General features: G+C 46.0%; 1 long non-coding RNA gene across 1 annotated transcript, besides 2 other annotated features; it reads right to left on the minus strand.

Moving 5' to 3' along the window:
* Nucleotides 1–472: 472 nt before the first annotated feature.
* LOC105372904 (uncharacterized) lies at nt 473–3,420 on the minus strand. Its single transcript, XR_922555.3, has 3 exons — nt 3,276–3,420; nt 1,671–1,869; nt 473–794 (listed from the first exon to the last, which is right to left on the minus strand). It is a non-coding gene; the product is annotated as an uncharacterized LOC105372904 (long non-coding RNA).
* Nucleotides 12,207–12,501: an enhancer, noted in NCBI's record as "tiled region #10839; K562 Activating non-DNase unmatched - State 16:ElonW". NCBI's record gives its function as "activates a minimal TATA promoter and a strong SV40 promoter by Sharpr-MPRA in K562 cells {active_cell/tissue: K562}" and the evidence as "EXISTENCE:reporter gene assay evidence [ECO:0000049][PMID:27701403]".
* Nucleotides 22,747–23,246: an enhancer, noted in NCBI's record as "H3K27ac hESC enhancer chr1:211908669-211909168 (GRCh37/hg19 assembly coordinates)". NCBI's record gives its function as "activates a minimal SCP1, AML or CMV promoter by ChIP-STARR-seq in naive H9 embryonic stem cells {active_cell/tissue: H9 hESC(naive)}" and the evidence as "EXISTENCE:reporter gene assay evidence [ECO:0000049][PMID:30033119]".

Here is a 27,724-nt window from a genome sequence, read left to right on the forward strand (position 1 = left end):
GCCCCTCTGAGAGTTCTCACAGAGGTAAAGGAAGAGGGAACCCCCATCTCATGGCCCCCACCCAGGCCCCTCATGCATAGGCCCCACAAAGCTCCTGGTGCACCCACCCTCACACGTGCTTCTGAAACCCTCCTCTCCCCACCTCACCGCAGCCTCAGGCCCCTCAGTGGCCCTCAGGCCTCCCCCTCGCCCCTTGTGTCTGACTCAAGCTCCCCAGCATCCTGTTGGATCTGACGCTCTCTCCCACTGAGAGCCCGGTGTAGGCTGCCAATCCCTGTTGGTAATAAACCCCTAAACCTGACTCTATGCCAGGCAGACACCTGTGTGATGGGGCTCCAGGCTCTGGGTCCATGTGACTTCTGTCCCGGGAGGCAGCCTATGGCACCGCGCACAAAAGCCTCCAGGCAGGAGCCCACTACTTGGGCTTAAATCTGCCACTTAACTGTGTGCCCTTGGTCAAATCACCTGACTGTTTTTTGTTGCTTGCTATTGTTTTTAAATTTTATTAAAATACACACAACATAAAATGTACCATTTTAGCCATCTTTAAGTGTACCGTTCAGTGGCATTAAGTACATTTACAATGTTGTTCAAATTACTACCATCCATCTTCAGAACGCCTTCCATCTTGCAAAACTCTAACTCTAGGAAATTCTGACACAGTCTCCAACACGGATGAACCTTGAGGACGTGTGAGTCGGTCATAAAAAGACAAATATTGTGTGATTCCACTTACATGAGGTACCTAGAGTAGTCATGTTCACAGAGGCAGACAGTAGCAAGGATGCCAGGGCCTGGGAGAGACAAGAGCAGGGAGTTGTTAAACCGGCACAGAGCTTCGGTTTTGGAAGATACAGAGCTCTGGAGGTTGATTACACAACAATGTGAATGTACTTAACTCTAATGAGCTATACACTTAAAAATGTATAAGGTGGTGCCAGACGCGGTGGCTTATGCCTGTAATCCCAGCACTTTGGGAGGCCGAAGAGGGCGGATCATCTGAAGTCAGGAGTTCAAGACCAGCCTGGCCAACATGGTGAATCCCCGTCTCTACTAAAAATATAAAAACATCAGCCGGGCATTGTGGCGTGTGCCTGTAATCCCAGCTACTCAGGAGGCTGAGGCAGGAGAATTGCTTGAACCTGGGAGGTGGAGGTTGCAGTGAGCCGAGATCGTGCCACTGCACTCTAGCCTGGGCAACAGAGCAAGACTCCATTTCAAAAAAAAAAGTGTAAGGTGGTAAATTTTATACTGTGCATTTTTCCACAATTAAAACATTTTAAAAACCCTGAAACTCTGTACCTCATCTCTTTTTTTTTTTTTTTTTTTTGAGACAGGGTCTTGCTCTGTCACCCAGGCTGGAGTGCAGTGGTGTGGTCACAGCTCACTGCAACCTCTACCTCCCAGGCTCAAGTGATCCTCTTACCTCAGCCTCCCGAGTAGCTAGGACTACAGGTGTGTACCACCACGTCTGGCTAATTTTTGTATTTTTAGCAGAGATGAGGTTTCACCATGTTGTCCAGGTTGGTGAACTCCTGGCTTCAAGTGATCCACCCACCTCATCCTCCCAAAGTGCTGGGATTACAGGCATGAGCCAGTGCGCCCGGCCCCCTCATTTCTTTTTGCCTCTATTTCGTCATCTGTAAAATGAGAATAATAAGAATATCTACCTCCTAGGGTTGTGGTGAGGATTGGCCCAGGGAATCATTTTCCTTGGTGCCTGGCCATCTAATTGCCCTTGTGTTGGTGATTATGTTTCATGTTGAGAAGGGCAGGAAGCAGGTGTAATTAGACGATGAACTTTTCTGAGGAAGCAGATGGGGTGGAGTTGTAAGAAGGAAGTCCATTCCGAGTCCTTGGGCATCTACCCTGCAAGAGACAAGAGTTCATCAATGTTTATTTGAACATCTGGATCCCAGGAGAACTGCTGAGTTTTCCTAATTATGTAGACTCTAATAATTTTGAATTTGTGATCATTTATAAAGAGAAGGCAGACGTTCCTGAGTCTTTAACCAGGCAACAGTGAGGCTGACCTCATTTTTGACACGTACTAGACACACACTAGGTTGAGTGCAGAAAATATTTCTAAATTTCTTTCTTTTTTCTTTTTTTTTGAGACAGGGTCATACTCTGTCACCCAGGCTGGAGTACAGTAGTGGAATATTGGCTCACTGCAACCTCTACCTCCTGGGCTCAAGCAATCCTCCCACCTCAGCCTCCCTGGTAGCTAGGACGACAGGTGCACACCACCACACCGGTTTTTTGTTTGTTTGTTTGTTTGTTTTTGCATTTTTGGTAGAGATGGGGTTTCACAATGTTGTCCAGGCTGGTCTCAAACTCCTGACCTCAGGTAATCTGCCCACCTTGGCCTCCCAAAGTGCTGGGATTACAGGCATGTGCACTGGAGCCTGGTAATTCGGTGATTTCTAAATTTCTTAACATAATAAACTGCCTCCCAGACCTTCAGCAGGGGTTTCTAGGAATATGGTTGCGAATTATCTCACCTTCTAGTTAAGCAGATATTCACCGATATTTTTTCTTAATTCATTCTTTAAAAAAATTTTAATAGTTAATTTTGGTAAAATACACATAACATTTACTATCTTTATTTTATTTATTTATTTATTTTTTGAGACAGAGTTTCACTCTTGTTGCCCAGGCTGGAGTGCAATGGCACGATGTTGGCTCACTGCAACCTCCGCCTACCAGGTTCAAGTGATTCTCCTGCCTCAGCCTCCTGGGTAGCTGAGATTACAGGCATGTGCCACCACGCCCGGCTAATTTTGCATTTTTGGTAGAGACGGGGTTTCTCCATTTTGGTCAGGCTGGTCTCGAACTCCCGACCTCAGATGATCCACCCGCCTTGGCCTCCCAAAGTGCTGGGATTACAGGTGTGAGCCACCGCGCCTGGCCTATCTTAACCATTTTTAAGTGTACAGTCCAGTAGTATTAAGTGCATTCACATTGTTGTGCAAACCATTTAAAAATATATATTCATAAAAAGTCTCATGAGTCTCATGAAACTATAAAATGTAATTACATTTAATAAAAAATTTTATTAAAAGGAATAAAATAGCCAGGTATGGTGGTGGTGCACCTGTAGTCTCAGCTGCTCTGGAGGCTGAGGTAAAAGGATCACTTGAGCCCAGGAGTTCGAGGCTGCAGTGAGCAATGATTGTGCCATTGCACTCCTAGCCTGGGTGACAGAGCAAGACCCTGTCTCAAAAAAAAGCAACAAAAAATCAAAAACTAACAAAAAGGAAAAAAAATCATACCTTTAAAATCTGGGAGATGTAGACCCCAATTCCGTGGAATCCCACCATACCAGCCAGAGGCCTGGACTCTCCCCTCCTCCCAGTACTCACCACATGACTGGGAGGGGGCAACTGAGCAGGGTCCTCATTCTAAGGAAAGATCCAGCTGTAGATAAGCAGCAAAAGTAAATGAAGCAAAGAAAGGAGATTACTCCAAGGGGCTTTACAGCATCTGTTAAACCAAATGTTTTCTGACATTTGCAATAACTCTCTTGGGATCTTACTCTGAGGACAATAATGACCTCATTTCCCCCTAATTTCCTCCTCCAGCCAACCCTCAGGCAAGCCTGGGACATTCTCTTGAGGTGAAGGGATTGACAGAGCCTGAGGCTGAGAGGGGTGAGGGGTGGGAGGCGCTGCCTGCAGTCCAGTCCTGCAGATGTATATGTGCAAGCGAGTGGGCTGGCACACTGCCACTGGGAGAGAGACCTCCCAAGCCCCTCAGTGCCTCATCCCCTCCCTCTGCCCCCATCCTAATGTGGTGGCCACAGCACTCATGCTGGGAACCTGGAGACACTGGCTTTTCTTTTTTTTCTTTTTTTGAGCTGGAGTCTTGCTCTGTTGCCCAGGCTGGAGTGCAGTGGTGCAATCACAGCTCACTGCAACCTCTGCCTCCCGGGTTCAAGTGATTCTTCTGCCTCAGCCTCCTGAGTAGCTGGGGTTACAGGCATGCACCACCATGCCCAGCTAATTTTTGTATTTTATAGTAGAGACGGGGTTTCATCATGTTGGCCAGGCTGGTCTTGAACTCCTGACCTCAGATGATCCGCCCCCCTTGGCCTCCCAAAGTGCTGGGATTACAGGCCTGAGCCACTGCACCTGGCCAACATCAGCTTTTATCTTTTAGTTTATAGCTTTACTGAGATTATAATTGACGTACAATAAACTGGACATATTCGAAGTATACACTTTGATAAGTTTTGACATATGTATATACCTGTGAAACCATCACTACCAGATAGTGAACATATACATCTTCCCTGAATGTTCCCTCCAGCCTCTTGTAATCCTTTCCTGCCCCTCAGTACCCCAGCCCCTTCCCCCCCACTCTCAAGTAATCACTGATCTGCTTTTAAATTATAGACTGATATTCTTTTATAGAATCTTATATATATGGAACAGCACATTATGTACTTTTTTCAGTCCAGGTTTTTTCACTCAGCATAATTATTTTGATATCCATCTGTTGTTGCACATATCAATGGTTCATTCCTTTAATAGCCAAGTAGTATTCCTTTGTATTAATATACCATAATTTGTTTATACATTTCACTGCTGATGGACATTTGGGTTGTTTCCAGTGTGGGGATGATATGGTCTGGCTCTGTGTCCCCACCCAAATCTCATCTTGAATTGTAATCCAAATTGTAATCTCCACATGTTGGGGGAAGGACCTCATGGGAGGTGACTAGATCATGGGGGCAGTTCTCCCATGCTGTTCTCATGATAATGAGTGAGTTCTCACGAGATCTGATAATTTTATAAGGGGCTTTTCCCCTCTTTGCTCTACACTTCTCCTTCCTGCCGTCATGTGAAGAAAGATGTGTTTGCTGCCCCTTCCACCATGATTGTAAGTTTCCTGAGGTCTCCTCAGCCATGTGAAACTGTGAATCAATTAAACCTCTTTCCTTTATCAATTACCCAGTCTCAGGCAGTTCTTTATAGCAGTGTGAGAACAGACTAATACAGGGGACATCACAGATAAAGCTGCTATGAACATTTGTGTACAAGTCTTTGTATGGACACATGCTTTTATTTCTCTTGGGTAAATACCTAGGAGTAGAAAGGTTGGATCACATGATAGGTGCATGTTTATTTCAGAAACTATCTCATCCTTTTCCAAAGTGGTTGTACCATTTTATAGTCCCACCAGCAGTGCATGAGAGTTCAGGTTGCTCTATATCCTTGCTAGTATTTGGTACTGAAAGTCTTTAATTTTAGACATTCTGCTAGGTGTTTAGTAATAACTCATTGTGGTTTTGATTTATATTTCCTTAACAGCAAATAATTTTGAGCATCTTATTTGTCATCTGCATATCTTTACTGGTGAAGAGTCTATTTAAATCTTTTGCCTATTTTAAAAATTGGGTTGTTTATCTTTGAATCTTGAGAGCTTTAAAAAATATAACCTAAATACAAGTTCCTTATTAGATATAAAACTTGCAGTCTGAGATTTGTCTTTTCATTCTCTTAACAGTGTCTTATGAAGAACAGAAGATTTATTTTTAAAAGTCTAATTTATCTATTGTAAAATTGTATGGATCATATTTTGGTGTCATGTGTAAGAAATCTTTGCTTAACAGAAGGGCACAAAAGTTTTTCTTGTGAGTTCCTCCAGATATTTTGTAGCTTTGGTTTTACATTGATCAATTTTGAGTTAATTTTTGTATAGTAGTCCCTCTTTATCTGAAGTCTTACTTTCCACAGTTTCAGTTACCCATGGTCTGAAAGTATTAAATGGTAAATTCCAGAAATGAACAATTCATAAGTTTTAATGTGCACACTGTCCTGCTCCGTCTCACTAGAGTTGTGAATCAGCCCTTTGTCCAGTGTATCCACACTATGTAGTATGTATGCATAGGAAAAAACATGGTCTATACAGTATAGGGCCCTGTACTATCCCTATTCAGGCATCCACTAGGGGTTTCAGAATGTATCCCCTTCAGATAAGGGGGGTGCCTACTGTATATGGTAAAAGGTATGAATAAAAGCTTATTTATTTGCATTTGCATATCCAATTGTTGATCATCGTTTGTTGAAAATACTTTTTTCTTCATGGAATTGCCTTTGCACGTTTGTCAAAATGAGTTATGTATTGTATTTGTTTCCTAGTGTTGCATAGCAAATTACCACAAATTTGATGGCTTAAAACAACAGAAATTTATTCTCTCTCAGTTCTGGAGGCCAGACATCTGAAATCGATGTGTCGCAGGGCCACCCTCCCTCTGGAGGATCTAGGGGAGAACCCTTCCTCGCCTCTTCCAGTTTCTAGTGGCTCCAGACATTCCTTTGCTTGTGGTAGCCTCCATTTTTATAAGGCCATCTAGCCATATGGCTCTCAGTGTGGCCCTCTTCTTATAAGGATACCTGTCATTGGATTTAGGGCATATTCAAAATGCAAGATAATCTCATCTTGAGATCCTTAACTTAATTACATCTGCAAAGATCCTTTTTCCAAATAAGGTCATTTTCACAAGTCCCAGTGAACACATTTTTTTGGGTGGGATATAAGTCAATCCACTACACACATTTATGTGCAGGTCTATTTCTGGATTCTTTTTTTTTGTTCCATTTGTCTTTTCTGTCAATATTACACTGACTTAGTGTAAACTGTAAGCAAGGTATGTCTCTCCATTTATTCAGATCTTTTAAAATTTATCTCAGCAATATTTTATAGTTTTCAGTGTACAGGTCTTTCACATCTATTATCAGATTTATCCCTTTTAAAAAAACTTTTATTTATTTAATTAATTAATTTATTTTAGAGACAGGGTCTCCAGCTTATCATTCAGGCTGGAGGGCGGTGGTGCAATCGTAGCTCACTTCAGCCTTGAACTCCTGGCCTCAAGCAATCCTCCCACCTCTGCCTTCCAAACCTATTTCATATTTTTTATGTGCTTAAAAAGGGTACCTGATGGGGTTTGGCTGTGTCCCCACCCAAATCTCAGCTTGAATTATAGCTCCCATAATTCCCATGTGTTGTGGGAGGGACCCAGTGGGAGATAATTGAATCCTGGGGGCTGTTTCCCCCATACTGTTCTCATGGCAGTGAATAAGTCTCACGAGATCTGATGGTTTTATAAGGGGAAATCCCTTTAGCTTGGTTCTCGTTCTTTTTCTTGCCTGCTGCCGTGTAAGACATGCCTTTCACCTTTCACCATGATTGTGAGGCCTCCTCAGCCATGTGGAACTGTGAATCCATTAAACCTCTTTTTCTTTATAAATTACCCAGTCTCAGGTATGTCTTTATCAGCAGTGTGAGAATGGACTAATATAGTACCATTATTTTAATTTCAATTCATTGTTAGCATATACAAATACAATTGATTTGTGTATACCCACCTGAATCTTGCAATCTTGCTAAACTCACTTATTAGCTCTAGTAGCTTATTTGTAGAGTCAATCAGATTTTCTTCATATAATCTGAGAATAAACAGTTTAACTTCTTTCTTTCTAATCTGTGTTTCTTTTCCTTCTTTACTTATGCATTGGCTGAAGTCTCTAGTAAAATGTTAATAGAAGTGGCAACAGCAGACATTCTGATGGGCTCTTGATCTTAGGAGGAAGGCATTCAGTCTTTCACCATTAAGTCTGATACTAGTTGTAGGTAAGGTGACCAGTGAGCTCGGTTTTCCTGGGACTGAAGGGTTTCCAGGGATGCACAACTTTCACTGCTAAAATTGGGATAGTCCTGAGCAGACCAGGATGTTTGGTCACCCTACTTGTAGGTTCTGGGTCTGTTTCAAGGATTAATTTTCCTCCTCATTATGGGTTGTATTTTCCAGTTTCTTTGCATGCTTGGTAAGTTTTTCATTGAATACTGGACATTGTGAATTTTACTTTTTGGATGCTGGATTTTTTTTTTTTTTTTTTTAAACAGAATCTCACTCTGTCACTCAGGCTGGAGTACATTGGCACAATCTTAGCGCAATGCAACCTCCACCTCCTGGGTTCAAACAATTCTTGTGCCTTAGCCTCCCAAGTAGCTGGGACCACAGGCACATGCCACCATGCCAGGCTAATTTTTGTATTTTTAGTAGAGATGGGGTTTCACCATGTTGGCCAGGCTAATCTCGAACTCCTGACTTCAAGTGATCCGCCTGCCTCAGCCTCCCAAAGTGCTGGGATTACAAGCATGAGCCACCACACCCGGCCTGGATATTTTTTGTATTCCCATAAATATTTTAAAATTGGAATTTTGTTCTGGGATGCAGTTAAACAACTTGAAACAGTTTTTTTGTTTTTATTTTTTGTTTTTTGTTTTTTTTTGAGATGGAGTCTTGCTCTGTCGCCCAGGCTGGAGTGCAGTGGCACGATCTCGGCTCACTGTAAGCTCTGCCTCCCAGGTTCACACCATTCTCCTGCCTCAGCCTCCCGAGTAGCTGGGCCTACAGGTGCCCGCCACCACACCCAGCTAATTTTTTTGTATTTTTAGTAGAGACGGGGTTTCACTGTGTTAGCCAGGATGGTCTCGATCTCATGACCTCGTGATCTGCCTGCCTCGGCCTCCCAAAGTGCTGGGATTACTTGCCCAGCCTTGAAACAATTTTATATTTCAGGTCTTCAAGATTTGTTAGGTGGGATGAAAGCAGTATTTAGCCTAGAGCTAATTCTTTTCCACTGCTGAAGCAAGATCCTCCTGAGTACTCTCCCCAATGCTCCGTAGATGATGAATTTTTCCAGGCTGACTGCTGGGGCTGGAAAGTAGTCCCAGCCCTGTGTGAGCTCTGGATACTCCTCTTTTATCCTTTTGGATGGTTCTTTCCTTGCACATATGCTGGTGAGTTCTCTGCTCAATACTTGCAGAGAAGGCTCTGCAGATTTCTGGGGTTCTCCCTCTGTGTGACTCTCTCCTCTTGGGTACTCTGTTCTGTGTGCTGCAGCTGCCTCAACCTCCCCAGACTCCCAGCTCCTCCTCACTTACAAAATCTGCTGGGCTCCACTTTGGTATCACTTCCCTGCACATTTCTCTCCCAAGACAGCAAATAGGGCATTGTAAGGCTTGCCTTGTTTGTTTCCCATCTCTCAAGTATCACTGTCTTTTGTTGCCTGACACATAGGGTCTTGGAAACCATTTCTCCTATATCCCTCCATTGGGCTAGGAGCTCCCAGAGGGCAGGGGCTATGCCTTTTTTTTTTTTTTTTTTTTTTTAATCAGACTGGGTGCTACTTGAGAGCAGGCAAGATCTAAGCCTCTTCCTTCCTCCTCATCCTTCCCTTAGAGCATGCAAAACAAGCCCATTCCAACAGATACTTAACGCCATAGCATTTTATGGAGTGGTTATTCTCACCCAAGTCCATGTTTGCTTTCATGTGACACAAATTAAGCTTCAGTCCCTTCAGTCCGCTGTTTCTTCCATTAGGTGGCTCCTGAGGTTACACATCCTCCAGGAAGTCTTCCTGGATGGAGAAAGATGATGTTTCTTGCCATGTTATCAGCCCAGGAGTTTGCAAATCCTCTTTCCTTTGTTTTCCATTATCACAGAGAACGCCTCAGAACTCCTCTCCCCAATCTCAGGTTTCCCCAGGAACATTTTAATCAACCCTACCAGTCCCATGAAACGTATGTGATTTACAGTTCAAATAACTTTGGGAAGTATTGCTGGCCACATCTCACCCATGAAGATTCACAGAGCATATGATGATTTTAAAGACCCTGATAAGTATGGTAGTACCGAAACCTGTTTGCTTTGTTGACACGTTTCCTAAATGTATTTGATCCCATTAACTCTTTTTGCTCTCAGAACCTCTCTGGATTATTTATTATTCCTAGGAACATACTTGAAGGAACACTAAACCAAATCATCATGAACAAATATGAGATTCTTCTTTTTTTCCCTTTTCCCTGAGAGCTCCAGAGATTGCATCAGATGAATGTTTGTTGGGTAAATGGTTAAATGAAATATGTGAAATCATTCTCAACAACCCATTGTGATTGTAACTGCCCTCATGGATCAGGTTGGATTACCCTGGGACTGCCCTCGGTCTCTCCCACTGCAGGTGCAGCTGCTCCCCCTACCCTGTGTTCTTCAAACCCCACTTTAGTTCATTTCCTCCTGTTTGGAATTGGTTGAATGCAACATGAGTAAGGCTGTGTGCGCAGACTGATAAGAATGCAGCTGAAGGGCAGCACCACAGTATTGCACAAACTCAGGGGACACCCTGAAGTGTCCCTTGGAGTTGTAAGGGAGAGTCTACAAGTAGAAGCTCCATGGCTTTGTCATTTCTAGATCTCTGATCATACTATTCTTCTGCTTGGAATGCTGTTCTGCTCATTTATTTGTCAAAATTCTATCCAACCTTCATGGCCGGGCCAAATACTAACTCAATGAAATCTTCCTAGGTTCCTCAGGCGGCATTAGAATCCTCTATGTCCCCCCATGGCTTATCAGAGTCTGTCTTTGAACATGATTAGTTGTGTCCAGGCTTTTCTCCCAGACTAGAGTATGTATTTCATAAACATAGGAGCTATGTCTTACTCATTTCTGGATCTCTGGTTCTTAACACAGCACCTGGCCTGGAAGAAGCTCAGTGGTTGTTTCAGGAGTGAATGAATGAACAAGTGAACTGACACCCAGTGGAAACACAAAAGAGCAGGCATTCTCAGCCCTTCTGGGAAAGTCTTAGGCGTAGCATAAAATAATTTTCAGGAACTCATGGCAGACTGACAAGGGAGGAAGAAAGTTTGGGACATTAGGGCACATGTCCATGTGTCATCTCTGGGTAAAGCCAGGGAATTGGTGAGGCCCAGTTCAATGTCCAGCCTGCTGTGTGGATGTCGTCATGCTGCTGGACATTAAAACCTGGTACATGAACACTCAGTGTGTTTGCAAAAAAGGATCCAGAGTGCACACAACTATGCACACTCATGTATGCACAGGGACAACTTAGGCAAAAACAGGAACTGTCATACGTGATCACACCCACATGGATATCTGCAAACGTACACTTGGATGGCAAGCCATGCAGAGATACTTGTAAAGTGCCCATGAACACACACACGCTCAGCAATCTTTGTGGCCCAAGAAACAAAGCTGAGTGTGATAACGGGTGTTAAGGGGCAAGGACATGAGAGCCCCAAGCAAACATCTGAGCTCTCTCTTGATCACCAAAGTCAAATAAAGTTGTAAAAGCTAAATGTTGAACTACTCCCCACCCTCCTTTCTCTTTTCCAGAAAGTAGGACTTCAGGCAATAGGCAGGCGAGATCCTTACAGCTATTGCCTCCTATAAGGAGCACAGCATCCTGTGAGGATGCCAAGCAAGCAGCAAGCCAGTTCAGACCTTTATTTGCACAGCTCTGCACTAGATGGTAGGGAGGCCTCAGGGAGGTGGGCAACTTCCATGCTAATCTTCAACTTTGGGCCATGCCCCTACTGCAGTGGGGTTAGTTCTGCCTCCTGTTCAATGCTTATATCTTGCCTGTAATTCGTTCCAGCTCCTATCAATAGCAATCATGGTGGGGTGTGTGTGTGTGTGTGTGTGTGTGTGTGTGTGTGTGTGTGTGTGTGTGTTTGTGTGTGTCCATGTCCTCTGTCTGGCCAGGAGCTTCCTAAGAGCAGGGGTCATGCCTCCCACAGTTAGGCTGAGCATCTCTTTAGGGGAGACCATGCCTCTCCTGGGATCCTCCAGTGGGAAAAAAGCATTGTTTTTTGTTTGTTTGTTTTTGAGATAGTCTTACTCTGCCACCCAGACTGGAGTGCAGTGGTGTGATGTCAGCTCACTGCAATCTCCACCTCCTAGGTTCAAGCGATTCTCATGCCTCAGCCTCCTGAGTAGCTGGGACTACAGGTGTATATCACCGTGCCCGGCTAATTTCTGTATTCTTTTGGTAGAGACGGGGTTTCACCATGTTGGTCAGGCTGGTCTTGAACTCCTGACTTCAAGTGATCCTCCGGCCTCAGCCTCCCAAAGTGCTGGGATTACAGGCATGAGCCACCATGCCTGGCCAGAAAAAAGCATTGCTTTTTCCTTGTCTTCACACTCGCCAAGGGCCCTGAATAAGCGTGGTTTCTGAGTCGGGTTTCTGTCAATGATCTGTTGCTGTCTCACCCCTACAGATCTTTTGAGAAACGCTTGCTGCAGATAGCTTTTCACATGGGGCCCTCGTGAGCCATCAGACTTTGGGATTCAATCTTTGGCAGGCTCAGAGGCCTGCAGGCCTGGGAACTGTTGCCAGCTCAATCCTAGCTGCAGCACCCCAAGGGCTGAGCGCTCTCAGGTTTCTTGGCATATTTGGATCGCTAGGGAATTGTTGAGAACCTGAGATTTCCTTAATAATTTACATCCATGTTCCTCCCTTTACAGGATCACAGGGCCCTGGACAACGTCAGTGAACATTATCCTGGGGTAACCCAGTCTCCTAGGTCTGGTAACAACAACAAGGGAAACAATCCAAAGGATTACCTTGAACTCTGGCCAGCACCGTGGGAGACTTGGACCTAGTGAAGGCCGGTGACCCGGAAGGGCCCCTTAACTCTGGCCAGCACCGTGGGAGACTTGGACCTAGTGAAGGCCGGTGACCCGGAAGGGCCCCTTAAGCTCAGTAATGGGCCTCCACTTGCTGGGAGGTAAAGGGTAATTCAGAAAAAGAAAGCCAAATGCTTTGGGAGACTTAGGAGAAAAGATGGAGGCTCTGTTTTTCCCAACCTCGTAGCCTGGTGGGAGGCTGAGTGAGGTTACTCTCACCTTCTAGGGCACTGTCTAAACTGGAGTGTCTGTTGGTCATTCTTGTGCCTTTTCCTTCCACCTGTGCTCTGGGACCTCCCCTTGTCCCATGGTTTTGCTTCTACTCCCTCCTCCTCCTCTCTCTCCACTGGCTCCATCCCCTCAACATAGAAACACTCCAGGTCTTTGGAATGTTAAAGTCCCTTTTGTCCTTCCAGTTGCTACTTTACCTCTGTCCTTCCCTTCCTGGATAAGCCACTGGAAAGTGACTAAGGACTCTATCCCCTTCCTCTCCTCCCACTGCCCACTGCCCCCTGGTCTCCTCCTCTTGCTCCACAGAAGCAGAGCCCCTCTGTGATTTATTTTATTTTTATTTTTATTTTTTTGAGTTGGAGTCTTGCTCTATTGCCCAGGCTGGAGTGCAGTGGCACGATCTTGGCTCACTGCAAACTCCACCTCCCAGGTTCAAGCGATTCTCCTGCCTCAGCCTCCCAAGGAGCTGGGACTACAGGCATGCACCACTAGGCCCACCTATTTTTTTTATTTTTAGTAGAGCCAGAGTTTCACTATGTTGGCCATGCTGGTCTCAAACTCCTGACCTCAGGTGATCTGACCACCTCGGCCTCCCAAAGTGCTGGAATTACAGGCATGAGCCACCACGCCCGGCCCCCTCTGTGATTTAAATACCCAAATACATCACAGACACCTGGGTGTTCCACAGGAAACTACAAACTTGATATTCGTCAAAAGCTGATTGAACACCTCCTCTGCACCAGACATTGAACTATAAAGTCAATACAATGAGGGTCAAGAAGCTTATGACTTGATGGTAAACAGAGATGTAAACTGACTATTACCAGTCTGGTTGCTAAGGGATACAATTGATATATGCCCAGATGTTATGGAACCCAGGGAAGACCATTGTACTGGGAGAGGAAGAGCAACTGGTCCTTCAGAGAAGGCTTACTGGAGGAATGGGACTGGAACTGAGGTCTGAAGGATGTGTAGAAAGTGAGAAGAAGAAATTGGGATTTTGGATATGGAATGCTTTCAGTTTCAAATGACAGAAACCTTACTCAGGCCAGAGGAAGCAAACCAGGGAACTGTATAACTGGGACGACTGGGTGAAGCTGGCCTCAGACACACAAGCATTCAGGTTTGCGGCTCTCCTCAGACTTACCTCTGCTGCTTCTTCCTCTGTGTTGGACTCATTCTCTCCTAATCAGGTTAGCTTCCTCCAGGTTTCAGGGGCAGGAGGGCCCTGGCCACAGGCAGTTCCAGGCTTATATTAACCGAGTTTTTTGGCTCCAGAAAAAAGAGAGAACTTTCCCAGCACCCATATGTAAAATCCCACGGAAGGGCTCTGATTGGCCCAGCTTGGGTCATGTGCCAATCCCAGGTCAATCACTGTGGCTGGGGGATGGGTACTGTGACTGAACGGGCCTGGATCTGCTACCCAGCACTGGGAATAGGGGACAGGATACTGTGGTTGGCAGTTCCATTAGGACCACATGGAATGAGGGGGGATGCTGAGAACACTAAAGCAACAGATGTTCATAACAGAGAGCTTTCTAGACAGAGAGAATCACACATGCAAAACCATTCAACAGCCAGGGAACGTGGCTGAGAATTACTAGTAGTTTTGTGTTGCTGGAACTAAGGATGAACTTGGGTGAGTGACAAGAAATAAACCTAGAGAAGAATGAATGTGGAGGGCCATACATGCTAAACAATAGAGTGTGAATGTTATCCTGAAAGCTATAGAGAATCTTTCAAAAATGTTATATCAGATATTTGTATGATCAGGTTATATTATTTGTGGAAAAATCCTTTTGCCCATAGATCTATTCTCTTGCTTTCTTCCTTCAGTTAATGGTATCCTCCATCCCTGCAACGTCATGAACTAGAAACTGGGGGAATCTTGGGGCAATTTCCCTCTGCCAAGTCCTTTTTGGGGCCCCTCTCAAGGAGCCATTCCTTTCTATTCTGTGACGCTGCCTGTGTCTGTTCAGGCCTCTGCCTGTTCTTGCCAGGACTACTATGGTGGGCCCCCCTAACTTGTACCAAGGCATCTGCTCTTTCAGGGAATTTCCTGTTCCCCAACCTAGCCTGGGGCAGACTGGTTCTCTCTGCTTTGGTAGCTAATACGGTTGGATGTTTGTCCCTTCCAAATCTCATGTTGAAATGTAATCTCCAGTGTTGGAGGTGGGGTCTGGTGGGAGGTGTTAGGGTCATGGGGGTGGATCCCTCATGAATGTCTTAGTGCCCACCTCGCAGTAATGAGTCTCATTCTATTAGTTCACAAGAGAGCTGGTTGTTTAAAGAGACTGGCACCTTCTCCCTTCTCTCTCTTGCCCTCTGTCACCATGCGATGTGCCTGCTCCCGCTTCGCCTTCTGCCATGATTGTAGGCTCCCTGAGTCCTCACCAGAAGTAGATGCTGGCGCCACACTTCCTGTACAGCCTTCAGAACCATGAGCCAAAATAAACTCTTTTCTTTATAAATTACCCAGTCTCAGGTATTTCTTTTTAGCAATGCAAACAGACTAACACAGTAGTCCATATCCCTCTCCTAGCAGTTATCACCCTGCCTCATAACCATTTACCGTCTGGCTCTGCACCGTGTGCTGTGTGTGCATATGCTCTAAGGATGCTCTGTTTTCACTGCTCAGCCCAGCTGCAGGGATAGCACCCAGTGCACTATAGATATTGCATACACGAATAAACCAACCCCAGCCCTTTAATAAGATTGGCAAATGAAAGCACCCTATAGCTTTAAAAAAAAAAATAAGAAAGAAAAAAGTTCTAAGGCCTTAGTGAACCACTCTGAAACAAAGGTTTTTCCTCATCAACTTCCAAGCTTCCAATGCTCATGTTCTTTTTTTTTTTTTTTTTTTTTTTGAGATGGAGTCTTGTTCTGTCAGCCAGGCTGGAGTGCAGTGGCATGATCTCGGCTCACTGCAACCTCCACCTCCTGGATTCAAGTGATTCTCCTGCCTCAGCCTCCCAAGTAGCTGGGATTACAGGCATGTGCCACCACACCCAGCTAATTTTTGTATTTTTAGTAGAAACGGAGTTTCACCATGTTGGCCAGGGTGGTCTCGAACTCCTAACCTCAAGCGATCCCCCTGCCTCAGCCTCCCAAAGTGCTGGCTTACAGGTGTGAGCCACTGGGCCAGGCTCATGTTCTTTTTCTCTATCCTTCTCTCTCCCCTATGTAACTCTCTACCTTGTCCGACTATGCATGATATAGAACTGAAATCTGCAGTGTGTGTGGATGTATGTGTGTGAGTACATGCAATGCTTTATTTACCTGTTTTAATTTGAAAATGTGAATAGTCATGTAGTTTTTCTGAATTGTGTGGTGAGTTTGAGTTTTAATTTTCATATTACAATAGCCCTTGGTGGTTTTAATTTTCATATTACAGTAGCCCTTATAGTAGGAATACACGTTTTGTATTCCTAACATAGCTGTATAAAAAACACTCCTTAAGCTATGCACAGGCGTGCGCGCGCACACACACACACACACACACACACTCATAGTCACTCACTCTATCCTTGTTGTCCATGTTACAGGTATTGATGTAAAGTCCTTTAAGTATTTTTGTAAGAAAACGTTTCTAAGTTGAATCCTCTGAACTGAATATCGTGCCATAGAAAAGATATTCTCAAAAGCATCTCTTTGCAGCTCATGGGACTGAAAACATCCATGGGCTCAGCACAAATGCACCTAACACATTCCACTCCTTTTTCAGAGGTAACCATACGGAAATAAATGATAGGAATAATGCCGAATATATTTCAGTTATTTAAAAGCAAGTTATTTACATACTTAAGTACTTTGAGTACACAGAACAGCACCTTGACTTCACTTCTATTTGTTTATTCTGTTGATTTTAAAAAAATTCTGTCTGCTTTTTATGTAATGGGACTTTTATTATCAGAGTTGAATTCAGTATCTATTGCTTTGTAACAGATTACCCCAACATTTAGTGGTTTCAAACCACACGCGTGTATGATCTCCCAGTTTCTGTGTGTTGGGAATCCGGGCATGGCTTCGCTGGGAGACTTACCCAGCTGCAGTCAAGGTTCAACTGGGCACTGATCCGCTTCTAAGCAGTTGGTGGCAGGATTCAGTTTCTTACAGGCTGCTGGACCAAGGGCTTCAGTTCCTGGTCGGCTGTTGGCGGAGGCCACCCTCAGTTCCTGGCCATGTGGGCCTCTCTAACATGGCAGCTCACTTCATCAAAGCCAGCAAGAGAGAGAGCCTGCATTACAACCTCTTGTGACCTAATCACAGATGTGATATTTCATCAACTTTGCTATATTCTACTTGTCAGAAGCAAGTTACCAGATTCAACTCACACTCAAGGGAAGGGAATTACACAAGGATATTAGTATTGAGATATGGGGGGTCATTGGGGAAAATTTTAGAAGTTGGTCTTCTACAAGATGAAGCCATTAAAAAAAGAGACTATTTGAATATGTCACCTTTGCTCTTTTATATTGAATGAGAGCTCCATCAATACTTTTTTGTTAACCCCCTGATTAAAACACACTGGTTTACTTAAATACTTTATTCTCAAATATTAAATGGAAAACAAAACATGATTTCTTTATTTTTTATTTTTTTTTTAGATAGGGTCTCTTGCTCTGTCACCCAGGCTGGAGTGCAGTGGCACAACCATAGCTCACTGCAACCCTGACCTACTGGGCTCAAGCAATCCTCCTGCCTCAGCCTCTTGAGTAGCTGGGACTACAGGTGTGTGCCACCATGCTCAGCTTGATTTCTAACATTGCCCGGCTTGATTTCTTTTTTTTACTGATCTCTTCATTACCAACATGAGCTAACATTTATTTTTGCAATGCGATGATAATTCAGACTGCTGTGGTTGCCAGTGACAGAAGACAAATGTGAACCTGTTTAAGCAAAAGAGGGAAAAGGGGAAATACGTTGGCTCAAGTAACCAAGGCATGGGAAGGGCCTTAGGGACAGCTGCAACTAAGATCCCCAGGTCCATCAGGCCTCCCTCTGCAAGCCCTGTGTCTGCTCTTCTCTCTGAAGGCCTTGTCCTCGTGGCCACCAGCAGCTTGATCTCCCAGCTTTGCCATTAGGATGGAACTGAGACTCACACTGTCAGGCCCTGATGTCTAAATTGCCAATTGGCTCTGTTTTCCTCAACTTGAATCACACACCCATCTCTGGACAAGTTGAATGCAGTCAAAGGTGTCAAGGGTTGGGCCCCAGGGAGCCCCTGTGCCAGGAAGAGGGCCCTACTAGAGCATGGTGGCCGCCATGGAGCCACGTGATTGGAAAAGGCCAAAGCTGATCTGCCAGAAGAAGAGAGAGGAGAGCTGGACAGGCAAGATAGCAGCTCTTTCCTGCCCTCAGTGTCTGTCTTCCTTGCACATAACATACATACAAGGTGTATGTACGTGTGTAAAACTTGGGTGAGGGCTGGGCACTGTGGTTCACACCTATAGTCCCAGCTACTTGGGAGGCTGAGGCAGGAGGATCACTGGAGCCCAGGAGGTTGAGGCTGCAGTAGGCTATGATAGTGCCACTGTACTCCAGCCTGGGCGACAGAGAGAGACTCCATCTCACAAAACAAACAAACAACAACAACAACAAAAAACAAAAAACTTGGGTGGGGAAACAGTCCTGGAAGAGGAATTTAAATCTGGGATCTATTCCCACCAACTAACTATATAACCATAGGCCAGTTAACTTCTCTTCTCTAGACCCTGGCTTTCCAACTTATATAAAGGCAATAATAGTACTTGTCTTTCTTGCTCCAGTGGGCCACTGCAAAGATAGAGTGGGTTGAATAGTGTCCCCCTAAAATTCATGTTTACACCTCAAAGTGTGACCTTATTTGGAAATAGGTTACTTGCAGATAAAATTAATTTCGGATCCTAAGAGGGAATCATCCTTGTTTTAGGGTGGGCCCTGAATCCAATGACTGGTGTCCTTAGAAGAAAAGGAGAGAGCACAGAAAGACTCAGAGAAAGGGGTGATGTGCAGATGGAGGCAGAGATTGGAGTGATGTGTGACAAGCTGGGGAAAGCCAAGGATTGCTGGCAGGCACCAGAAGCCAGGAGAGGCCTGGATGGTTTCTCCTCGACAGCCCTCAGAAGGGTCCAACCTTGCTGACACCTTGATTTTGGACTTCAGGTCTCCTGACCTGTGAAAGAAAAAGAGTGTTGTCTGAAGCCACCAGGTTTGTGGTAATTCATCACAGCAGCCCTAGGAGAGAGATTAATACCTAAGATAGAATGAAAAGTGTGAAAAATGCAGTGTCATGGGATCAAGGATGTTATTACAGCAAGCACAGTGATTACATAGGCTCTATGAAACTCACAGTTACTGTGCCTGATTCAGAGCACAGATCTGTGCCTATCTGTTGCCACACCTTAATCCAGTCAGCAGCCATCTTTCATTTGTGCAGGAGTGACCTGCAGCTTGGAAGTCAATGTTCAATGAGAGGCAGATGTGAAATGGCCTCAGTACCAGCTCAAGATTCTGTTTACTGAGTGTTTGCTACATGCCAGCCATTGTTCTAGGCACCCCATGAGCACACTGTGTGCTTGGTGCTCTTCTGCAGACAGGGGAAAAGGCACAACAATTAGTACATGGTTGAACTAAGATTTGAATCCAAGTGGTCAGGCTCCAGAACTTGTGCACTGACCGCCTCGCTATGCTGCTTCAAGGCAGAGGAATCATCCCTTCCTGATTCATTGGGCACAATACAGCTACCGCCAGAGCCCTGGGCTGCCAGCTGGTCCTTCCTCCTCCCTCTGTCTCTTTCCCCATTACCTAAGGGGAGAACAGGCTCTGAACTCCCACGTTCTCTAACCCAAGTCCTGCTCAGGCCAACCCCTGCCTTTCTTCCTCTCACTGGATGTCTAGCCCAGTAGCAAAATATCTTTTACATAGGGAAATTAGCTGGTTAGAAATACGAGCCAGCTATAATCCAGCTCAGGTGCTTAATGTCAGGTGGGACAGAATGAGGGCCTGGAGGAGCTCTGGATGGGCCCCAGGCTGGGTGGTAGATCCTGTTACTCACGGGGAGGCTGGGTTCCTGCAGCATCTGCAGAGCAGGGCTGCAGGGGGTGCCTTCTCAGTTTCTAAGCCCTGAGATTCCACATTTCTCAGATCCCCTTTTACAACTCTCACAACCAGAAACATCAGCTGCCTCTCAGCCTATACTCCCACCTCTGTGGACCCTGTCTGCACACCCAGCCTCTCTTGCCACAACCCAGTTCTGTCTGAATCCTGCAGAGGTTCCCAAGTGCCCACCAACCTTCAGGGACCTCATCCAGTTTAATTGCTTCTCAATTTCTCTCTCCAATTCTGACACACCCCTGAGCTTGATTCATGTATTCATGAATACATGTCCTTAGATATTTAGCAAGTGTGTGAAACCTAACATGGTCATAATTGTCCTGCCCTAGTCATCCCCATCTCAGCAAATGGCAACACAATCCATCCAGCTGTTTCAGCTCAAAACCCCGGAGTCATCTTAATTCCTCTCTTTCACTTTCTACATTTAATTCATCAGCAAATCAAGCTTAACTCTTCCTCCAGAATAGACCTGAATCTGTCTCCAGTGCCACAACCTTGATGGAGGCTATGCCGTCTCAAGCCTGGATAGTGCAGTCACCTCCCAACGGGACCCCCACTTCCAGTCTGGTCACTTTGGCTCATTCCCCACACAGCAGCCGGGTATCTGTGAACACCATAGATCAGTTTCGTTGTTCCACTGAAAACTTTCCAGTGACTTTCATGGAACTAAGAATCAAAGCCACAGTCCTCATGTGGCCCTCAGGGGCCTTCTCTCTGCCTCCTCTTTTATTTTTATTTTTTAAATTCTTTTGAGATGGAGTCTCACTCTGTTGCCCAGGCTGGAGTGCAGTGGCGCCATCTCGGCTCACTGCAACCTCTGCCTCCCAGGTTCAGGCGATCCTCCTGCCTCAGCCTCCTAAGTAGCTGGGATTACAGACATGCACCATCACGCCCAGCTAATTTTTGTGTACATATATATATATATTTTTGTTTGTTGGTTTCTTTTAGTAGAGATGGGGTTTCACCGTGTTGGCCAGGCTGGTCTCAAACTCCTGGCCTCAGGTGATCTGCCCGCCTTGGCCTCCCAAAGTGCTGGGATTACAGGCATGAGCCACTGTGCCCGACTCTCTGCCTCCTCTTGTGTGATGCTTTCCTCTTCCAGTTGCTCCACCGTCCAGCTGGGCTCTCAATCTGCCCCAGCCATGCCCACCATAGCTTTCCCACCCCAGGGCTGGTGCCCCTGCTGTCCCCATCCCCTGGAATTCTCTGCAAAGGTCCTCACGTGGCTGCCTGCTTCTTGTCATTGGGTCTTAGCTCAATTGTCACCTCCCCAAAGAGCCTCCTGGATCACCAGCCCCCTTCCAATCATACTCTAATCTATCCCCACTTGATCTTCTTTATTGCACTTATAAATAAAATTACTGTCCTTCCTCATTATTTGGGGTAGCTATGCTTTATAAAGTCACCATGAACACTGAGCTAGTGAGTACTGAACTATCGGGTAAATGGAGGTTAGGTTTTTGCAAGCCACTGGCAACAACATTTCCATCCATCAAGCAATATATAACCTTGTTTTATGTGTGTTTCTGCTTAAAGACACCTTAGTTAATACAGTTGACCCTTGAACAATGAGGGAGTTAGGGGTACTAACCCCCACTGTGCATGTCAAAATCCATGTAGAATTTTTGACTCCCCAAAACTTAAATTACTAATAGCCCACTGTTAGTTGGAAGCCTTACTGATAACATAAACAGTTGATTAACACTCGTTTTATATATGTATTATATATACTGTATTCTTATTACAGTAAAGTAAGCTAGAGGAAAGAAAATGTTATTAAGAAAATCATAAGGAAGAGAAAACATATTTACTATTCATTAAGTAGAAGTGATCATCATAAAACGCTTCATCCTTGTCTTCACCTTGAGTAAGCTGAGGAGGAGGAAGAAGAGGGGTTGGTCTTGCTGCCTCAGTGGTGGCAGAGGTGGAAGAGGTGGAGGTGTTGGAAGGGGCGGCAGGAGAGGCAGGCACACTTGGTGTAACTTTTATTGAAAAAAGTTTGCATATAAATGGACCTATGCTGTTTAAACTCGTGTTGCTCAAGAGTCAACTGTGTATACTGCTGATTCATTTGTAGTGAACTCACGGCCAACAGCACTAACTCACACCTGAACGAAGCTTATCTAACATACGTATTTTCTCTGTCGGGCCTGTCACTGCTTCCTTGCACTCAGAAACACGAGACAGCACTTCAGCACTAAGCTTGGGGGCCTTTTTAAATAGTGAACTCACCAAATAAAAACACAACAATGCAAAAAAACTGCAGCATCAAACAGACCGTGAAAAGGATGATTGTTTATGATATGAGAGCAGAAACAAGAAGGTCTCGAGCAACTCAAAATTACTGCTTCTCTGCACTTCCGCGAATGACTCCGAAAGTCTGTGAGTATTGATTTTGGTGTTTCAAGTAAGTTTCATTGAGTGGGCAAATTTGCAAATATGGAATCTGTGAAGAAGGAGAGTCAACCGTATTTTATTCAGTTGTTTTCCATCTCTCCTGAGTAGAATACACGCTCCAGGAGACCTTGTCTGTTTTGCTCCCTACCGTATGCCCAGCACCTGGCACAGTGCCTAGCATGCAGTAAGTACTCAGTACATATTGACTGAAAGGAAGTGGAGAAGGAAGAATAAAATAATAAAGTCCAGGCTCCTTTTCACTCCCGATGATTGGTGATGCCTGTGCAGGAAGCTCCTGCTCCCAGAGAGACCAGAGGGCCACTGCCCACCTTGTCCCTTCACACAATTATATACCATTTCAAACCACCACCATGGTTCTTTGGCTCCTTCCAGGCAACCTACGTCTTCCTTCCTTTCTTTGTCTCTCTACTGCCCATCTATACGAGCCTGCATGTGCCAGGGAGTCAGTGGCCCCATGCTTGGGAAAGACTGCCCGCCCTTGCTTTACGCTTTCTCAGCTTTCCCTCCTTCCCTCTAGGTGCTTCTTGCGTGGTGCAGGAACAAACGTGCCACCTCCTTCATCTGGCCAGCTCCCCAATCCCGGGCTGTCTGGTCCCCTGCTGTCTGGCTCCTCCCTTCAGGTTCCTGCCAGTCCTCCCAAGACTTCTTGACATTTTCTTCTTCCTTTCCTGGGACTCAAATTCCACTCCATCCCCTCCCCTTTTCTTTGTTCTGACCCATAATAACCTTAATACAACCACCACCACCATAATGGTAAGGACTAATGTACTCCTGCCTAGGAAGAGGGTGAGTATTTATTTTGTGCACTAACTCTCAGATGTTCCAGAAAATGTTTCCAGATCTTGTCTCTGCCTCCCGGTCCACATTAGGCCTGATGAAAGGATGTGTGCTGTGGAATCAAGGTAGAAAGCTTTTCCCCCCAGTCATTACCCCCCGCATCTCTGCAGCGCTTGACCATCTAGCACGCCCCTGTGTAGAACCATTCGCATCTAGCGTGACCCTCCTGGGAACCCGGGAGGCAGACAGGGCAGGCATAATAACCTCCTTTGTCAGATGAGTCACGAGATGAGTCACAAGAGGCGACAGAAAATCAAGGAGTTTGCCCAAGGCCACGGAGCTCCGAAGAGCTGGATCTGCGCATTCCTGGCTCTGAACCAGGATCAAGTGCCCCTGCAGGCCTGAGACAACCCACAATCGGCCTGTTTGAGTGTCCAGTTTAGACTCCAGACCAATGGGAGTTTGCCAAGATAATAAGTTCCACATAACAAAGCCCACTGTGTGTGCCACGGGAGAGCGTAGGAGAAGGCACAACAGCAGCAAACGGTGGTTATTAAATGTTATGTTTACATAAAACTCCATTGGTTAGAAAATTCCATTCTCAGGTGCGATTTCATTTGATCTCATGGCAGCTGATTATTGTCTCAAGATGTGGAAACTGAGGAAATGTGACCCATCTGGCTAGAAAGGAGCTGAGCTGGGGTATTTCCCTAAGATTCCTGTTTCCTATGCCTGGATCCTTCCCCCTCGAAGACTGATTAATAACTATGATCAGCTTGCTTCTCTGCTCGAAGATTCAGGGGTTCTGGCCTGGGTAGTTTGCCAGCCCATTTCTCAGAACAATGTGGGAGGCAACAAGGGCCTAGAAAGTGGTTTCGAGGAAATGTGGCCAAGAAAGAGGGCCTTGGGGATGGAAGAACTTGGCAAGGAGATCTGAGCTGGCCTGCTGGATCCAGAGCAGTGTCAGGCAGGCAGCCAGGTGGAGCCTGGATGCGAGCTGCTGCCCGGGCGACTGAGGATGGAGGCAGCACGAGTCTCCAGCATCCTTCTGCCAGCAGTGAAATGTGCTCTGAACCTTTCCCTGAGCTTTGTGCCTCCCTCTCTAGGCAGCCCCTAGGGATTAACCCCTGCCCCAAAGCCCTTCAGCATCGCCACAGCTAATCTCTGTGATGCCATCTGCACATGTCAACATGTGACTGTAATGGTGGCAGAGCTTGTGTCCCATCTCTAGGCCCCTTTCCAGTCTACCCAGTAGACACATTCTGCAAACACTAGCTGACTGATCCCACCCCTTTGTCCTGCTTTCTTGTGCAACCTGGTTGTGGTTCCATGGTGTGACTGCACAGTGGGTGGGAAAGGGGGCAGCTCAAATAATGGACAACTGCAGTCAGTGAGGAAAGGAAGGGCACGTGAATTCACAGAGCACCACAAATGTTATTTTGTTCACAGACCTTGCAGACCCCACCCCATGCTGCACTGGGAGGCTGGTTCCTCGGGAAGTCTGGTGGCCCCTGTGCAGATGTCTTAGGCGCCCCTGGCCATGTTCCCTTGGCTCAGTGTTCAGCTGCCCTGTGGCAGGTGGCTCCTGCTCCGTGGGACTCACGCTTACCCCAGGCAGCATCTTTCCCACACCTAGGGCCTTTCAGCTTCAGGCCTTGAGGCTTCTCTGGTGCCATGGGAGCCTTTTCCACCCACTGCAGGGGCAGCCCTTAACCACCGGGGGATGGTCGGTGGATGCCTGGTCTCCTGGCCTTCAGGGCACAGTTCTGGGATGCCTTGGCGGGCTGAGCTTCCACACCCTACAGTTTGCTACTCACATCTCCTCCTCTCTAAGAACATCTTGTGCAGTGCCTTGGCAGGAGGGACAACAAGGGGACATGGACCACCCCCAGGGGCCTGGCTCCTTCCCATTCCTCATTTCCTCCTTCGTGGTTCTCATGACAGGGCAGCCTTCATGAGGTGCCTGCGTTTTACTGCTCTTCTGTTGCCGACTTGAAATTCGTAATGCTCTTTGAACAGGGAGTCGCATTTTCATTTTGTACTGGGTCACACAGACAACGTAGCTGGTCCTGCCTGGTAGTTTGCTGCTTGGGGAGAGGCCTCTGTAAGTGATGAGAGCAAAATGAGACCTGTCCTCTGGCCAAGCTGAGCTCATTGTTTCTTCCCTCCTCTGAGCACAACAGAAACCCAGGCACAGTGGGAGCTTTTATCAGGGTCCCTGTGACAACGGCGCATGGAAGTTGGGGGCTGGGGGGAGACAGGCCTTAGGGGCCAGGGGGAGACAGGCCTTAGGGGCCAGCTGGTCCATCCCCCAACCAGAGTGGGTTTTCCCACCCAGCACCCTGGCACAGGCTCACCCAGCCTCTTTGTGAATTCTTCTAGTGACAAGAAAGGGCCTTTTTTTATTTTATTTTATTTTTTTATCGTGGACTCGAATTGTCATTGCCCCTCACTCTGGTGAAGTGTTACAAGGTTCTCCAAACCCTTCCATGAGGATTATCTCACTGGATTCTCACCACCCTCTCCTTGTGCAGCAGACATTTTCTAAAGAGTGGAAATTAAGGAAATTCCGGTAATTTTCAGATTAGCAGCCCTTGCACCTCCCACTCAGCCTTTTCCCTTCCTTCAACCAGCGATGGAAATCTCACCTAGGAAGCCTTTCAGCCTGTCAAAAAAGAAAAAATGCCTCCTAATTCCTTGTACTAAATTATTCCCTCCCCGCTCCACCCTGGGCTGTAGGTAATGTAATGTCTTTTTTCAGATGTCCTTCACTTTGAATAACAGTCAGAAAATGGCATGAGGTAGGCAGCCTTTTCATAGGCTTGTTAAATGTATTAGACCCCGGTGGAAAGATGGGAGAATAAAGGAGGATCACAGAGCCTCCCTCTCCTAGTGATGACGGTAGAGCACACACCTTTTAAAGTGCCAGTCAAGGAAAGAAACAGAGGCTTCTAAAAGGCTGTGGCTTTTACGCCACCCCCACCTGGAGGAAATACGCCCACCAAGAACATCCTGAGCACTTCACCAATACCTGTCAGTTAGGAAAGCGACTGCCAGAGGGGATGGGCAGGGACGGTACCCAGAGTGGAGGTCCCCACCAGCTTTAGCTTATGTCTTCCAGTGGGCTGCAGGGTTGAGGGGAAAAGCTGGAGCCCATGCCAGGAGCAACCCAGGCAGAGGAAGCCTCACCATGAGGCCCCCCTGGGGTACACTGGCAGACAGACACACACACTGAGCCTTGAGATGTCTGAGGCTGAGGCTGTGGCAGGAGCCCCTGGAAGGAGACACATGTGTCCACTCCCACAGGCCCAGTGCTCCTCCTGCTAATGCAGCTTACAGCAAACCCTCAGATCTTTACTTTCACTTGCTTCTTGTCTGTGGTTTGCAGATTCCTAGTACCTATGCTCTGCCCACCCATGCCTGCCCCTCCTCTCCTCCCACTCTCCCCTAACAGTAAATACCTTTCAAATGAGAAACCCTCTGAGCACCCCTGCTTGCTGGCACCCTCTGTGCTAGAATCTCCTGCTGCAGTCAGACAGGTACCTGGGCGGGGGGTGAAGGGGAGCTGGAGCTGGGCTGGTGAGGTAACCCTGCTGTCCTTCCTCTCCAAGGCCTAATAAAGAGGAAGACAGAGTCTGAGGCAATGCTTCCTGTGACACCAGGTTTCTGCATCCCTCAGACATCGCTCCAATGACAATTTCAATTATTATTCCTGATCGGACATGGCACAGATTCTGAAGGCTGGCTTTCAGTAATCAGCTGTTCCATTTCTCTGCCTCCAAGAAGAAATGCTTTATTAATTCCACATTCATTAACTCATTCATTCCCTTGCTTTTTCTAGCCATCCTTTGGGAAAACAAGGACGGGTCTTCTTTATAATAAGCTAGCCCAGAACCACTCTGAATATCGTAATGCCTGAGCAGCCATCTCCATATCCATGAGTTGCTGTTTATGCCAAGCTTCCCACCAGATGATGGTTTGAAGTATTTCCAAATCTTCTCTAAGAGAACTGTTCCATAACCTCATCATGGCCCTGAAGCCTCTCTCTCTTGGAATTCCCAATTTCTGGTGTTACTCTGAAGTTCCGTGAATGGTGGGCTGGACAGCTTGTTGGATATTTGTCTGGGGAATCAAAGGCTCTTAGGGCCAGATGGGGCTTTGAAACATCACCTGCTTCTCATCTCCTCACCCCCACCCCCAGCAGGGCAGAGTTTCGAATACACACCTGCTAATCCAGCTTTGCCTCGTTTCTTTGTGCTCTACCATGATAACCTCAATAGCCATAAGCAATATCTTATTCTAATCTGCCCACTTCCTTCTGATACCCACTAAGAACTGAGCACCCAGAACTTACCACTGGAAGGTAAAGTGTCAATTCTCAAGATATAAACTTCTGAGACTTCTGCAACTAGAAAGGAGAAAGGTTTTCAAAATTACTTTCAATTTCCTGAAGCATTAGGACACTTTCAATGTAGTTTTATATTTAGAATCATATGAATTATACAGAGAACCGTGGGCTGGTGGACAGCTTCCAAATACTAGAAATTATATTTCCCTCCATTTTGATAATTAGTTCAAGGTCTTCACCACAAGTGACATCATGTCTCAGAAGCAAAAATAGGTCCCTATTAAGCCTATGTAATGTCTTGTCTAGTAGATCTGATTTCCTCTTTATGCCCCCGTCTCCTCACCTTCCTAATT

Source organism: Homo sapiens, chromosome 1 (assembly GCF_000001405.40).
Source record: "Homo sapiens chromosome 1, GRCh38.p14 Primary Assembly".
NCBI lineage: Eukaryota > Metazoa > Chordata > Mammalia > Primates > Hominidae > Homo > Homo sapiens.